A 15,706-nucleotide genomic window follows, 5' to 3' on the forward strand; every position below is an offset into this window, starting at 1 on the left:
GCTGGTCTTGAACTCCTGGGCTCAAGTGATCTCCTGCCTTGGCCTTCCAAAGCACTGGGATTCCAGGTGTGAGCACCAAGCCTGGCCTGCCCAGTATCTATTTGTGCATTTTCTAGTCATAAGGCCTCCATTTTCCTTTGTAAAACTTCTCCTTTCTCCTCCTCAGTTGTTGTGATTCTGGGGGCTGACTCCACAGAGCCACTCTAGGAGGTGATATGCGGCCCACACCTGGCCCAATTGAGGCCAGTGAGAGGCCAAATGTTTTTCTGGATCTAATGTGAAAGGGACATTGTCTTTCCATCAAGGTTGCCAAGTTGGTAAAAGGTAAGCCTGAAGCTCCTGGTGGCCATCTCGTCCATGTGGGAGGAATCTGCCCAGGAGTAAAGCCAAGAGAAAAGAAAAGCAGACTTGAGGGAAGGAAGGAAATGGATTCCTAATGATTTCCTTTAGCATCTGAATTCAGCCAAAAATAAGACAGTCTCTGTCCACAAGGAGCTTACAGTTAGGTAAAGACGATGTGATCAGGAGGGTCAGGCTGCCATGGAAACACTAACACAGGCTACATAGCCAGAACTTTGGTGAGTGTAGGTAGGCTTCTGGGCAGGCAGGGAGAGACATCTACAAAGAGATGGAAATGATTAATACGAGTTAGCCAGAAATGGGGCAGCATGTGAGAAAGGGGAGAAAGGAAAACAATGCAGAGATGAAAAACAACAAAACAATGGCTGAAAAGCAAAATAGTATGGTGCTTTCAGGGAATTCAATATGACAAAAGCATACACAACATTTTCCCAAATATGATCTCATTTAATCCGACAATTTGAAATCTTGCACAATAAAAACAATGACCAGTTAGAATGTGTTCAGGTGCAAGTTAATGAAAACCTGTTTACTAGTGACTTATACAATGAAGACATTTAATTACTTAGAGGTAGGCAATCCAGAGCTGGTACTTTGATTCTGTAATGTCATTAAGAATCTGGGGGCTGGGGTTGGTGACTCACATCTGTAATTCCAGCACTTTGGGAGGCTAAGGCGGGTGGATCACCTGAGGTGAGGAGTTCGAGACAGCCTGGCCAACATAGTGAAACCCTGTCTCTACTAAAAATACAAAAATTAGCTGGGCGTGGTGGTGCAGGCCTGTAATCCCAGCTACTTGGGAGGCTGAGGCAGGAGCATTGTTTGAACTCGGGAGGCGGAGGTTGCAGTGAGCTGAGATCATGCCACTGCACTCCAGCCTGGGTGATAGAGTATGACTCTGTCTTAAAATATATATATATATATATATATATATATATGTACATATCATATATGGGGGCTGGGTGCAGTGGCTCACACCTATAATTCCAGCACTTTGGGAGGCTGAGGAGGGAAGATTGCTCGAGTCCAAGAGTTTAAGACCAGCCTGGGCAACATAGTGAAAACCCATCTCTATCCCCCAAAAAGCCAAACGAAACAAATTAGCTTGGTAGGGTGGTGTGTGCCTGTGGTGCCAACTACTCAGGAGGCTGAGACAAGAGGATCATTTGAGCCTAGGAGGGGAGACCGCAGTTAGCCGTGATTGTGCCACTGCATTCCAGCCTAGGTGGTAGAGTGAGACCCTGTCTCAAAAAAAGAAAAAAGAATCTGAGCTCTTCCTATCTTTTTGTTTCACCATTTTTGGCTTTTGGATGCTTATTATGCATTATACATATTACTCGTGGTATATAGAATAATGGCCCCCAAAAATACCCACATTCTAATACCCAGAATCTATTAATATATTACCTTACATGCCAGAAGGGACTTTGTAGATTTGATTGAGTTAAGGATATTGAGGGCTGGGAGCATGGTAGCTCACGTCTGTAATCCTAGCACTTTGGGGAGGCTGAGACAGGTAGATCGCTTGTGCCCAGGAGTTGGAGACCAGCCTGGGCAATATGGCGAAATCCCATCTCTAATTAAAAATAAATAAATAGGCTAGGTGCAGTGGCTCACACCTGTAATCCCAGCATTTTGGGAGGCCGAGGCGGGTGGATCATAAGGTCAGGAGTTCAAGACCATCCTGACTAACACGGTGAAACCCTGTATCTACTAAAAATACAAAAATTAGCTAGGTGTGGTGGTGCGCACCCATAATACCAGCTACTCAGGAGGCTGAGGCAGGAGAATCACATGAACCCGGGAGGCAGAGGTTGCAGTGAGCCAAGGCACCACTGCACTCCAGCCTGGGCAACAGAGCGAGACACCGTCTCAAAAAAAAAAAAAAAATTAGCTGTGTGTGGTGGTGCATGCCTGTAATCCCAGCTACTTGGGAGGCTGAGGCAGGAGAATTTTCTGAACCTGGGAGGCAGACGTTGCTGTGAGCCAAGATCGTGCCATTGTACTCCAGCCTGGGCAACAAGAGTGAAACTCCATCTCAAAAATAAATAAATAAATTTAATTAATTAATTTTTTTTTTAAAGAAGCAGAGGTTATAGAAAGAGAAAGATTTGAAGATACTGTGGTGCTAGCTTTGAAGATGAAGGAAGGAGCCATGAGCCAAGGAATGCAGACAGCTTTTAGAAGGTGGAAAAGTTCCGACCTCCAGAATTAAAATATAATATATTGGTGTTTTAAGCCATTAAGTTTGTGGTAATTTGGCAATAGGAAATGAATTTCTCACCAATGGTTGCAAGACAACTGTCACAGCTCCAGGTATTATTTTCATAGCCACTACAGGAAGAAGGGTTAGGAGTTTAAAAGGCAGATCCACCCCACATTCATTCCTTTTGTCAAGAAAGCAAAAGCATTCACAGGCATCCTGCCAGCTGACTTTCCCTACAAATCATTGAGAACTTGGACAGAATGGCCACCTCTAGCTGCAAGGGAGGGTAGGAAAGTATCTCACTTTCCAGTCTGATTTGTTTTGTAGATGGGTCAGTCCCTTATTAATGAAAGCATAAGCAGGTTGTGCTGAGGTGCAGAACATCGGAGCATGTGACTGCGGGTGCCCTTCATCTGGGAGGAAGGGCTGTGGGAAAGTCTTGGTCCTATGTGCTAAGTGTCATTTGCCCTCGGCAGGCCAAGGCAGAGTGATTGAGTGCCTCAGAAACCGGGCTTTTCATAAGTGGCGGTTTTGGTATTTTTGGAAAGTAAGAATGAATATCCTTTTCTAAGGAGACCATCTGAGAGAGACTTTGGTTAGGGAGGGCTGATGTGCGCCTCCAACCAGAGTCAAACGGTCTCGTGCTCTCTCTGAGGTGATTCCTCCCTTCAGACACTTGTGGAGAGAGTGAAGCCTGCTCCAAAATGATAAGGAGTGAAAGCTGAGAAATTATAACCAGAGGAAGGCTCTAGAGAACACAAAAGAGGGCCAGAACTGGAGTGGAGAGGGAAGACAGAAGTAAAACCATGTCTACTATTAAGGACACAATGCAGAGAAAGCTAGGCATTATTTTTATCAGCATTAACCTGATTGGTAGCTCTCTTGTTAGGGGGCAAGCTCCCATCAGTGAAAGGCAGTGATAAGTTTGGTGATCATAGTCAGAAAGCTTGGGTAGACTCTTTGGCATAGGATAGACATCCAGGCAAAGGATCTGACAATTGCAGCTTTTGACAAAATATCAGAATCTTGCTGTGGTGAACCAGGAGGAATGCACAGCACTGGGGATAGCAAAGAGTGACTTTGTCAGGGAAACAAAAGCTAAACAAAAAATGTAAGTTGCCTTGTGGATAGGGATCACCCTCATTGATACTGTCCAGACCATAGGACTGCCCTGTTGCCCTGTTAGTTCTGGTTGTTGGAGAGAAGTTTGTTTGTTGGGGCAGTTTCTAGAGATCTTTGTGGAGGAGCACCATCCTTGAACCCCATCCCCACCTCCCATGGATTTACTTACATACATGCATAGATATATATGTGCAAAGATGATCACTGCATCAATGTTTGGAAATTTTAAAAAAGCAGAAACAACCTAAATTCCCATTTGAAAGCCTTGGTTAAATAAATTATGCTATATCCAAATAACAGAATACTCTGAGGCCATTTATGTTTATATGACTGATGTGGAGTAAGTTCCATATTAAGGGACTTTAGCAAGATGCAGAGCAGTGTATAGAACTCAAATGGAACAGCTTCCATTGTGGGGGCTGTTGTCTCTGGAGGTGAGGACCAAGGTTTGGGGGAGGAAGGAAGACATATTTTTGCTTGTTTTGAATTTTGGTTCTTTTTGAGACAGTGAGACAGTCTCCCTCTGTTTCCCATGCTGGAGTGCAATGGTGAGATCTTGGCTTACTGCAACCTCTGCCTCCCAAGCTCAAATGATTCTCGTGCTTCAGCCTCCTGAGTAGCCAGGACTACAGGTGTGTGCCACCACGCTGGCTAACTTTTGTATTTTTAGTAGAGGTGGGGTTTTGCCATGTTGGTCAGGCTAGTCTTGAAATCCTGGCCTCAAGTGATCCACTTGTCCCAGCCTCCCAAAGTACTGGGATTACAGGCTTGAGCCACCATGCCCAGCCTGAAAACAATTTTTAACCAGATATATTGTGCCAGTTATTTATTGCTTTATAACAAATCATCTCAAAACTTACTGGCTAAACTAATATTGTATTTGGTTACAATTCTAAGGGTCAGAAATTAGAGCTGAACTCAGCTGGTCATTTCTCGTGTGCGTGCCTGGAGTCACTAATGTGGCTGTAGTCATCTGGTAACTAGATATGAGCTGAATGGCTTACGATGACCTCACTTAAATGTCTAGCTGTTGATGCTGGCTGTCACCTGAGACATCTGTCTCCTACAGGTTAACCTGGGCTTCTTTGTACGATGCCAGTGTTCAAAGAGAGCAAGAGCAGACGCTGCAAGGTTTCCTGAGGCCTAGACTCCAGAGGAGCTCATACAACACTTCTGCCACATTCTATTAGTCAAAGAAAGTCACAAGGCCAGCCCTGATTCAAGGATTGGCAAAATAAACTGCACTTCTTACTGGAAGGAGCTGCAAAGAATTTGTGGCCACTTTTAATCCACCACTGGCACATGTTGCTTTTTCCAATAAAAGGCTCCACTTAATTAAAAAAAAAAAAAAGCTGGGCATGGTGGCTCATGCCTACATCCCAGCACTTTTGGAGGCTAAGGTAGGTGGATCGCTTGAGCCCAAGAGTTCAAGACCAGCCTGGGCAACATGGTGAAACCCCACCTCTGCAAAAAATACAAAATTAGCTGGGTGTGGTGGTGCGTGCCTGTTGTCCCAGCTACTCCAGAGGCTGAGATAGGAGGATCAACTTAGCCCAGGATGATCAAGGCTGCTACTGTATGTACTCCAGCGTGGGTGACAGAGGGAGATGCACACACACACACACACACACACACACACACACACACACACACACACACAATGAATGCTATTTGTAATACATTCACAGGATCACAGGATTTTAAGAATTGGGTAGAACCTTTGAGATTATTGAGTATGAAACCTCCAAAGTTTATAAGTAAGGAAACTGAGGCCCAGAAAGCTGAAGTGTTTTGGAGAAAGTAACACAGTCAGTAGCAGCATCAGGAAGAAAACCAGGTCTTCTGACTTCTAGTCTCGTACTTTTAATTCCACAGTAGAGTTTTCTTTTTCAAACAAAGCTTGTTAGTGATCTTTGATTAAGAAAACTTGACAGCAGTTTTGTAGTCCTACTGTTCTAGTTAATAACTTAAGATTCTATTAACTTCAAAGATTCTTTTTATTACTATTATACTTTAAGTTCTGGGATACATGTGCAGAACATGCAGGTTTGTCATATAGGTATGCATGTGCCATGGTGGTTTGCTGCACCTGTCAACCTGTCATCTATATTAGGTATTTCTCCTAATGCTATCCCTCCCCTTGCCCCCTACCCCCCAACAGGTGTGTGATGTTCCCCTCCCTGTGTCCATGTGTTCTCATTGTTCAACTCCCACTTATGAGTGAGAACTAACTTCAAAGATTCTATCTCAAACAAAGGAAAGAAACTAAAGAAATAGTCCAAGCAATTCTGAGAAAAGCAAAACAGAAATCTATCTTATCTAGTCTCAGTGCTGGTTTTTCTTTTTTTAGGAAATCTAGTCTTAGTGTATCTGTGGAATGAATAATTTACTGAATCATAAATACATTGATCAAAATTGCTTTACAAAATTGTTTAAATGAGTCTAGGTTATTTTTCCTTTTGGCATATTTTTAAATCCAAAATGTACTGTCAAGTATATTTAAGTAATCCTTATTGCTCCCACTGAGAACTTAGGACTTCTCTAACAGCTCTGCTTAGTCTTTAATTAATATAATCTTGATTATTAACTGTTGAATTAATGAACTTAAAGTAATTCAACAACTGTTTATTGTGAACCCACTGATTCAAAATACTGTGCTGAAAACTGTAAAGAATATAGGAAAGAAAACATGAACGCTCCTCTTAAGAAGCTTAAAGTCTAGTTGCAGGCAAACATGTATAGACCTAATTACAACACAAAGAGGAATGAATTAGATTCCATAAGGGAGGTATTAGCAAAGCGGAATGAGGGTATAAAAGAAAGATTATAGTAATGCCAACTGGGCAGGGTGGGAAAGGCTATACCGTTATTTGTGGCAGAAAGGAGGAATGAAAAGACTTTCTATAGTTAGTGTGGTCTGTAGGATTTCCTCACAGAAAGTTAAAGTTGGGGAACTTATACAGCTTAAATACTTAGGATGCATGTCTGGGCTGTTGGAGCCCTCAGAACAGGTAGTCTCCTGATACCCATCCAAGAGGAGCTATCTTTTTGTTCATAAAATTCTGAATTGAAGAATCTATTTAATTACTACTATGTATGAGTATCTGGATTAGATGGAGCCTACCAAACAATTAAAATCAAAGTTTTGGCATGCCAAGTAGGCAAAAACAGGCAAGGAGTCCTTTGAACAGAATTCTCTTTTAATGAGACTTGCTTCTTTTTGGGTTTGCTGACAAAGTAGGATAGATACGTACTTTCATAAAAGAGAGGAATATACAGGAAAATCATTTCTTAATTTATATACATATATTTATTCATTTTTTTCTCACATTCATTCACTGACACTTTCTTTTGTGTTCAAAAACCACCTTAAAAGAAGGCAAAATGGCTAGGCAGAAGTTCCTCTAAAAAAACAAAACAAAACGAAACAAACAAAAAAAACCCTAAAATTTGCCTGAATGTCAGTAAGAATGAATGGTAAAATACCTGTTCTGTTCAGTTTGGAATATAGGTCCATAAACTACTTCTCTCATAGCCTTGAAACCCTGAGAACAAGTTGAGTCAATGTGAGGATGGAGTTTTAATCAGCTATTCTTGCTTTCTTGATTTAAATAAGACTCTTATTTTATGAGTGCCTGTGTTATTTTTCAACATCCGGTCACTTATGATATGCAGGTGTTAATGGAGCAAAGGATGTATATCATTGGATAAATATGAACACTATATTTTTCTTGCGGGACAATACATATTCTTAGGACTGTTACTGAATTACATTTTACTAGTCCTAAAATATTTAGAGTTATGTATTTAAAAGATACAGAGCATAGGTATTAGATCCACACAAAGTATTTTAGTCAGTGAATGTTCAATGTAGCAGGTAGAGATGAACTTAGCATGTCTCGTAGACTGAACTGGGAACAGACTCTTCAGCCATAAAATGCACTTAACAGTCTATTTAATAGTGGTAAGGTCCTTGAAAATGCAATATCCATGCTAATCTTGCCTTTTTCTAAATCACAGATGAAAAATAGGTCAGTTAGGTAGAGCCTTCTCTTTCTATTTAAAGGGTGACATTTAATCTATTTAAACAACTACCAAAACTTTATTAATTCAATGTAAGAAAAGTATGCTGAGAAAGTAGAGAACTTTATTAAGAACACAAGGTTTTCCAAAATTTGATTTGGATGTCTTAGATCTCAGGACTCAATAAAAATCTCTACGTGGGGGTTTCGATCAAATCAGTAGCAGCAAGTAAGGACCAGAAAAGAGCAATCCAGAATGTAATTAAATCTCACACTGTGAAACAGCTTAAAGGAACTATTTTACAAAAGGTAAGAGGCAAAAATTAGAAGAGGAGCCTCCAGAGAAAGGTTTTCTGCTTCCCTGATGCCTCTGGGGAAAATTCATTTGGGAAGTGAAGTATACACAACCAGAAAGCTTCCAGCAGAGAACAAACCAAGGAGTCAAATTAGTGTTTAATGTAACTAGATACCAGCTTTGATGCATTTCATTTAAACCACAACGTTCTGTAGAATTCTTTGGAGAAGAAAATGCAGAGTATCTGATGAATTGTAATTACGTTTCACTGGGGTCTATTTTGGAGAATGTTCACACTTTTCCAGCCCCTCTCATTTCTTTGAATAGGATTTAATACTTTCTGGCCCCGCCCTTCCAATCAGCCCAAACGTTTACCTAGGGTAATGCAGTAGTTCCATCTTTCCCAAGAATAGTTATAAAGAACAAGCGCTCCAGTATTTGAAAAGTAAACACCACAATATTCCACAACAGCTTTGGATAGGGGCTTTGAAAAAAATTTTTTTTTAATTTTTAAATTTCTTCTCTTAGTATACTTTCTGTTTTTAAATTTTTAAAAATTTTTTTGTTTCTAATTTAATAGAGATGAGATCTCACTATATTGCCCAGGCTGGTCTCCATCTCCTGGGCTCAAGCAATCCTCCCACCTCAGCCTCGCAAAGTGTTGGGATTACAGGTGTGAGCCACTGTGTCCAGCCATCATACACTTTCCTGGGTTGTAGATTTGGATGCTATAGTTGAAGGGAGAAGATGCTTTCCTCCTCTTAGCTGTCTTCTCTGGATCCTAAAGAAATCCTGGACGAGAAAGGGCACTTAGAGGTTATTTCTTTTGCTTAACTGACTACTGTAGATTCAATAACAGTTTAGTTCTGTTCAATTCAGCTATTATTCCAGAAAACTAACTCCATCAATTATAGAAAATAACTTTTTATAGAGTTTTTACAAACCTGTCTTCACTACATATCCAGGAAGGATTATTTTCCTTTACACCATCAAAGCACCCAGGTTCTTTTCTTCATTTTATGAGAATCATTCCGGTGATATGTAGTAGCTACTATTATTGGGCACATGTGGTATCTCATTTAGATTTAAATCCATGTTTCCAGAGGCAGAGTGCTGTCTTGACAATATCTGCCGTCTCCTTTCTCATTAAAACCAAACCCCAAACCTACTATCAAACAAAACGGTGATACAAAAATCACATCCTACATATTTTGTGTCCTGCCCCTCTCCTCAGCATTCATTTTTAGTTTGGCAATCTTTTATAACTTTGGTGAACAAAAGCAAAAACTCAAGAAAGAAGAAAAGACTTTATTTTGTGTTTTACCCTGTTTCACTGGCATAGACTTTGATCCCTTTCTATAAATAAAAATCTATTTCAAAATCAGACTTTAAATCTTGATGTATTTACTGTAAATTTTACAAGTTGGAACCTCCTACTATCTTGATTTATATGATTTTAAAATGGAGTTCTTACCATTTCCCTTGGGAAGAATTTTTGGTTTGAATAGTTCTTACTGGCAGGTTGCTTCCTTTATGTTTAGCCCAAATTTTCATTTTCAAAGACCATTTTAGATAAGCACCATGATAGCTCTAAGCCAATGGATCTGTGTGCCACATAATAGAGTGTGACAATCCACTCAGTTGTGAAAGACACTGAAGATAAAGCAATAAAGCAGCATTTGTGTTATCACATTGGCTTTACAAATCTACTTAAGCACTGACCCAACAGTGTTATTCATTATTGGGAATTATGGATGTTTATAATTGTCCAAAAATACATTGGGCTAAGTTATACCATATATTATAGATTTAAATTTAAATTCAAGATCCCGGGCTGAGAGAGATGCAGATTTGTAACACTCCTTGGAGGTTTGGGGGTCCGTGAACCAATGAATACATTATATTGTCACATTAAAGAACTCTTTTTATCCATAAAGATGTAACTTTTTTTTATGATCCATATAAACAAAATTATTCTTATATGTATGATTATATACATATATATGGTTGAAACATCTGTATGTATGTATATATATGAGAATAATTCCAGCTGGCATCTGAAATTGACAGTAAAAATAACAATGATTATATTCTTCTGAACTGTGTATAAATTACTGGTGTAAGCTCCTTAAGGGCAGGCTATTTAGTCAATAAATATTTGTTGAATGAATGAGTATGTTCACAAGTAATTATAAATTTAACTTGATTTGCATCACTTAAACAATAGAAATCAAAATTACTCTATTCACAGTAGAAAACAATTCATTTTTAGGCATGGTGTGGTGGCTCACGCCCGTAATCCCAGGACTTTAGGAGGCTGAGATGGGTGAATCACTTGAGCTCAGGTGTTTTGAGACAAGCCTGGCCAATAGAGAAATCCCATCTTTAATAAAAATAAAAAAATAAACTGGGTGTGGTGGTGGGCACCTGTAATCCCAGCTACTTGGGAGGCTGAGGCAGGATAATTGCTTGAACCTGGGAGGTGGAGGTTGCAGTGAGCTGAGATCATACCACTACACTCTAGCCAGGGCGACAGAGCCAGAATCTGTCTCAAAAAAGGAACGAAGGAAAGGAAAGAAGGAAGGAAGGAAGGAAAGGAAGGAAGGAAGGAAGGAAAGGAAGGAAGGAAGGAAGGAAGGAAGGAAGGAAGGAAGGAAGGAAGGAAGGAAGGGCATATTTCTTAGCTCTTTCCACAGAAAGGACTAAAACCAAAAAGCAACCCAATAGCAATGAGCATCCTCAGCACATAGAATGTGGTCTTGAAATACCATTTCCTGCTAAAAGGAACCAGGGTTCTTGAAGAAATAGCTAATTACAGGTTTGGAAAATAAACATACAAAAATAAACGTGGAGCATCTTGTTATACCAGATAGCAAGGAAACTATGATCCAAGTAAAGACTGCTATGTCATGTCAGAAGGACTCAGGAGCCAACTTAAAGAGACTCCCACTAGCCATGGGACACACTGAGCACCAGTAAGCACAGTAACGACACTGGATCGAAACACATCGAACGTGAATTGTCTGTCACATTCTCCATGAGTTCATGATACTTTTTAAAAAAATTGTCACCAATGGGGAAGCTAATAAACCAGCTCATTATTTTGAAACCTCTTCCCCTCCCCTTCCCTCTCCCTTTCTTTCACACACACACACACACACACACACACACACACACACACACACACGATCACCCTTGTTTCAAACCACAGAACAGACTTATAGATGAAAGGAATCTCTTTTGGAGCTTCGGAAACCAACCTTATATTTGGAGGAACCAAATTGGAATCAACTTAAAACTGAATTGGTTTTTTTCTTGAGACGAAGTCTCGCTCTGTCTCTGAGGCTGGAGTGCAGTGGTGGGGTGATCTTGGCTCGCTGACATCTCTGCTTCCCAGGTTCAAGCGATTCTCATACCTCAGCCTCCCAAGTAGCTGGGATTATAGGTGCACGCCACCACACCCGGCTATTTTTTTTTATTTTTAATAGAGATGGGGTTTCACCATGTTGGCCAGGCTGATCTCTAACTCCTGGCCTCAAGTGATCCGCCTACCTCGGCCTCCCAAAGGGCTGAGATTCCAGGCGTCAGCTACTGTGCCCGGCCTACTTTTAATTTCCTTTCTTCCTCTCTCCCTCCTTCATTCCCTCCCTCCCTTCTTTCTTTTTTCCTTTCTTCCTTCCAGTAATTCTATAAAATAAACCCTGAATGTATATCAATATTTAACTTCTAGGCTGGGCGCGGTGGCTCAAGCCTGTAATCCCAGCACTTTAGGAGGCCAAGGCGGGCAGATGGCTTGAGGTCAGGAGTTTGAGACCAGCCTGGCCAACGTGGTGAAACCCCATTTTCTACTGAAAATACAAAAAAATTAGCCGGGGGTAGTGGTGTGTGCCTGTAGTCCCAGCTACTCGGGAGGCTGAGGCGGGAGAATCGCTTTGAACCTGGGAGGCAGAGGCTGCAGTGAGCTGAGATATTCCACTGCACTCCAGCCTGGGTGACAGAGCAAGATTCTGTCTCAAAAAAAAGAAAAAAAGAAAAACAAAGAAATATTTAACCTTATCTTTCATGTTTAACTCATTTTTCCCATGCCAAGAATCATGGTCTCTAAACACCAGCCATGATGGAATTTGAATAGCATATATATCTTCATTTTCTTTATCCCACTTTACACATATAGTAGTCTCAGAATAACAATTCCAACCCTAATACCCACAATACGATTACTAACAATTATTTAATTATTTTAACAGATTTTTTTTTCCCTTAAGGTATATCAAACTAGGAATTAACCATCAAATTACTGTGTTTTTTCCTTTTCGTTTCTTTGAGACAGGATCTTACTGTGTCGTCTAGGCTGGAGTGCAGTTGCACAATCATGGCTCACCTCATCCTCAACCTCCTGGGCTTCATGTGATCCTCCCACCTCAGCCTCCCAAGTAGCTGGGACCACAGGTGTGTGCCACCACACCCAGATAATTTTTTAAATTTTTTTGTAGAGATGGGATCTCCCTATGTTGTCCAGGCTGGTCTTGAACTGCTGGGCTCAAGTGATCCTCGTGCCTGTGCCTCCCAAAGTGCTGGGATAGCAGGCATGAGCCACTGCACCTAGGCCCTACTGTGTTTTTTCTGTTTATTCTTCTTCTTTTTTTTTAATGGAGTCTCGTTATGTTGCCCAGGCTGGCCTCAAACTCCTGGGCTGAAGTGATCCTTCTGCCTCACAGCCTCCCAAGTAACTGGGATTACAGCTGGGCCATTATGCTGGCTAAATTATATGTTTTAAAGTCACTTGGAACAGTCTCTTTGTGTAGCAGAGCCATCAGCTGGATATATAGTTAAGTTATTTTATTTCACTTTATTTTTGAATTTTAGGAATTTATTTTTTCCATTTTAATTTTGCTTTATCATTAATTTAATCAGCAAATTTCATATTCTGACTTCCTTTAAATAGCCCTAAAAATGAATAAAAGTTAGCTAAGATCTATGTTCAGATACTTATCTGCTGTATCTCTTAGGGAAATTGTGCAGTGTCTCACACCAGCATTTCCAAAAGTGTGTTTCATGGACCATTCTTCAGGGCGAGAAGTGGGAGGTGGGGTGGGTGTGAAGATAGGAGTCTATAGTCACATGAGTCTAAAAATCCTATATTCTCTTGGAGAATCATGATGTACATAACATATAAAAGGCTTTGAAAGCCAGGTGCAGTGGCATGTGCTTATACTCCTAGCTTCTTGGGAGGCTGAGGCAGGAGGATTACCTTAAGCCAGGATTTTGAGGGTAGCCTGGCAACATAGTGAGACCCTGCCTTAAAAAACAGGCACCAAGAAGATCTGAAGTAAGGAAGCTTTCTTCCTTAGATTTGTGTAACCTAGTGTTTTAAAATTTATTTGTCTGGGCCGGGTGTGATGGCTCACGCCTGTAATCCCAGCACTTTGGGAGGCCAAGGCAAGCGGATCACCTGAGGTCAGGAGTTCGAGACCAGCCTGGCCAACATGGTGAAACCTCATCTCTACTAAAAATAGAAAAATTAGCTAGGTATGGTGGTGGGCGCCTGTAATCCCAGCTACTGAGGAGGCTAAGGCAAGAGTATTGCTTGAACCCAGGAGGCGGAGGTTGCAGTAAGCTGAGATTGCGCCACTACACTGCAGCCTGGATGATAGAGTGAAACTCTGTCTCAAAAAATAAATAAATAAAATTTATTTGTCTGTATGAAGAGACTGTCCTCACACCTTTTTTTCTCTTCTTTTTTTTTTCTGTTTTAATAAAGTTAAAGAGTAAAATAAAAATTCACAAGCTGCTTCCTTGTCCATCTGCCTACCTCCATCCCCTAATTGCAGTCTTTGACACTGGTTCGTTATCCGTCACCCCATTCACACAGACACTGGATGTCCAACTGAGAAAACAGAACTGCAGTAAGTACACGGAGACATGATGTGAATTGCATCCACATTCAAGATTAAACTGAGTGACTCTGCATTTTCTGGGTTCTAGGTGGTTGCCCTTCATTAGGCAAATAGAAAAAAATTCCCTGGACCAGACGCTTCAAAGCTGAAGCCCCAAGACCACTGAAGAATGCCTTGAAGATACTATTTGCATCAAAATCACCCATATTCATGCCCTCCTTGTCCAGGTCCTGTCCACTGTCCTAGCGAGTCTTTTTCTTGGGATCAGAGAAGATGGTAAAGGCCTCTCCAATTTCCTTGAACTTCCCCTCCTCCTTCTGAACCTCAGCACTGCCTCCACTGTGCCAATCTGGATGGTGCATCAAGGCCCATTTGTGATAAGCTTTCTTGGTCTCGTCCTCAGAGGCATTATTGTCCACTCCCAGAATCTTGTAGTAATCTTTCTTCTTACTCTTCTTCAGTTTCAGCTGTGCATTTTTTAGGAGCTGTTTGTGTTCTTTTGTTTTCTCTGTCTGATACACTTTTTCATAATTGTGCACTGCTTCTTCATACTGTTTGGTGTTCATGTAACACTGAGCTCTTCTCAAGCAGGCTTTTAAATAGGTGTCATTGAGCTTCACTGTATTTGTGCAGTCTTGTATTGCATTATCTAGTTTCCTAAGCTTAGAATTAACCATAACCCAATTATAGTAGAGTTTAGCTTAGTTTTTATATTGTTGGGGTTTATCCCCAGGGGTCATGTGTACAGTTCGTATGCTAGCTTGTAATTTCCTTCCTTAAATGCTTTATTTCTGTCTTCTTTCTTTGCTTTGAGTGCTTTGGGATTTCTGCAAGCAACGCAGGCCCTCTCATGGAGCCATCCTAAGAGCCTATACAAAAACTGAAATGACTTGTCAATACAATCTTCATAATAAAGGCAAAGACCTTATACATACAGAGGATCTGCATTGGTGGACTCCATTTGTAAAATGTCACTGGCCACAGATTGTGCTTCTGGATAATGACCCAGCATTACTAAATATTCTGCTTTGAGGATTTTGAAGCAATGGCAGGCAGGGGCAAGTGCTCGGGCACAGTCCATGCAGAGAACAACCTTCCTAATATCATGCTTCTCAAAATCTGTTTTTGCTAACTTCTCATATTCCATTATTGAATTGGCATTCTTGAACTCCTGTTATTCCTGAGCATTTTTATGATCCAGTTCTAGGGCTCTCTGGAAACTAACATGTGGCCATGGCATTCTCTAGAGAGAGGGGGCACTTGCCCCCTCCTAGATGTCCCTGAACAAAACTGTCATCCAATCTCAATGACTGGTGTGCATCTCCAAGAGCTTCCTGGAACCTTCCAAGCATAATCGATGTGGCTGCTTGATTACTGTAGTAGCTAGCATTTTTAGGACATATGCCTATGGCTTTTGTATAATAATTATAAGCTTCATTGTAGTATTTCTTGGCATAATATACATTTCCTTGTTCCTTGAAAGACTCTCCTTCCCATGGTGTACAGTTAGACTTCTAGCTTCCCTAGAAGTGAAGTTCTGATGGGCAGCCACCAAGTCTAACTTGTCTGGTTTCTATTAGCACATGGCTCTGCATCTGGCATAGACAGAGCAGATGCTCAGAAAACATTTGACGAATAAATGATATTGAGTAAAGGAAGTGTTACTTACTATGGTAGCCTTTAGAGAGAGATTTTGTTGGCCTGGCGTGATAGCTCATGCCTATAATCCTAGCACTTTGGGAGGCTGAGGTGGGCAGATCACCTGAGGTCAGGAGTTTGAGACCAACCTGGCCAACATGGTGAA

At 41.0% G+C, this 15,706-nt stretch overlaps 1 pseudogene; it reads right to left on the bottom strand.

The window, feature by feature from the left end:
- Positions 13,727 to 15,397, bottom strand: LOC441887 (DnaJ heat shock protein family (Hsp40) member C7 pseudogene; annotated as a pseudogene).

The sequence above is a fragment of the Homo sapiens genome, chromosome 1, assembly GCF_000001405.40.
Source record: "Homo sapiens chromosome 1, GRCh38.p14 Primary Assembly".
NCBI classification, from domain to species: Eukaryota; Metazoa; Chordata; class Mammalia; order Primates; family Hominidae; genus Homo; species Homo sapiens.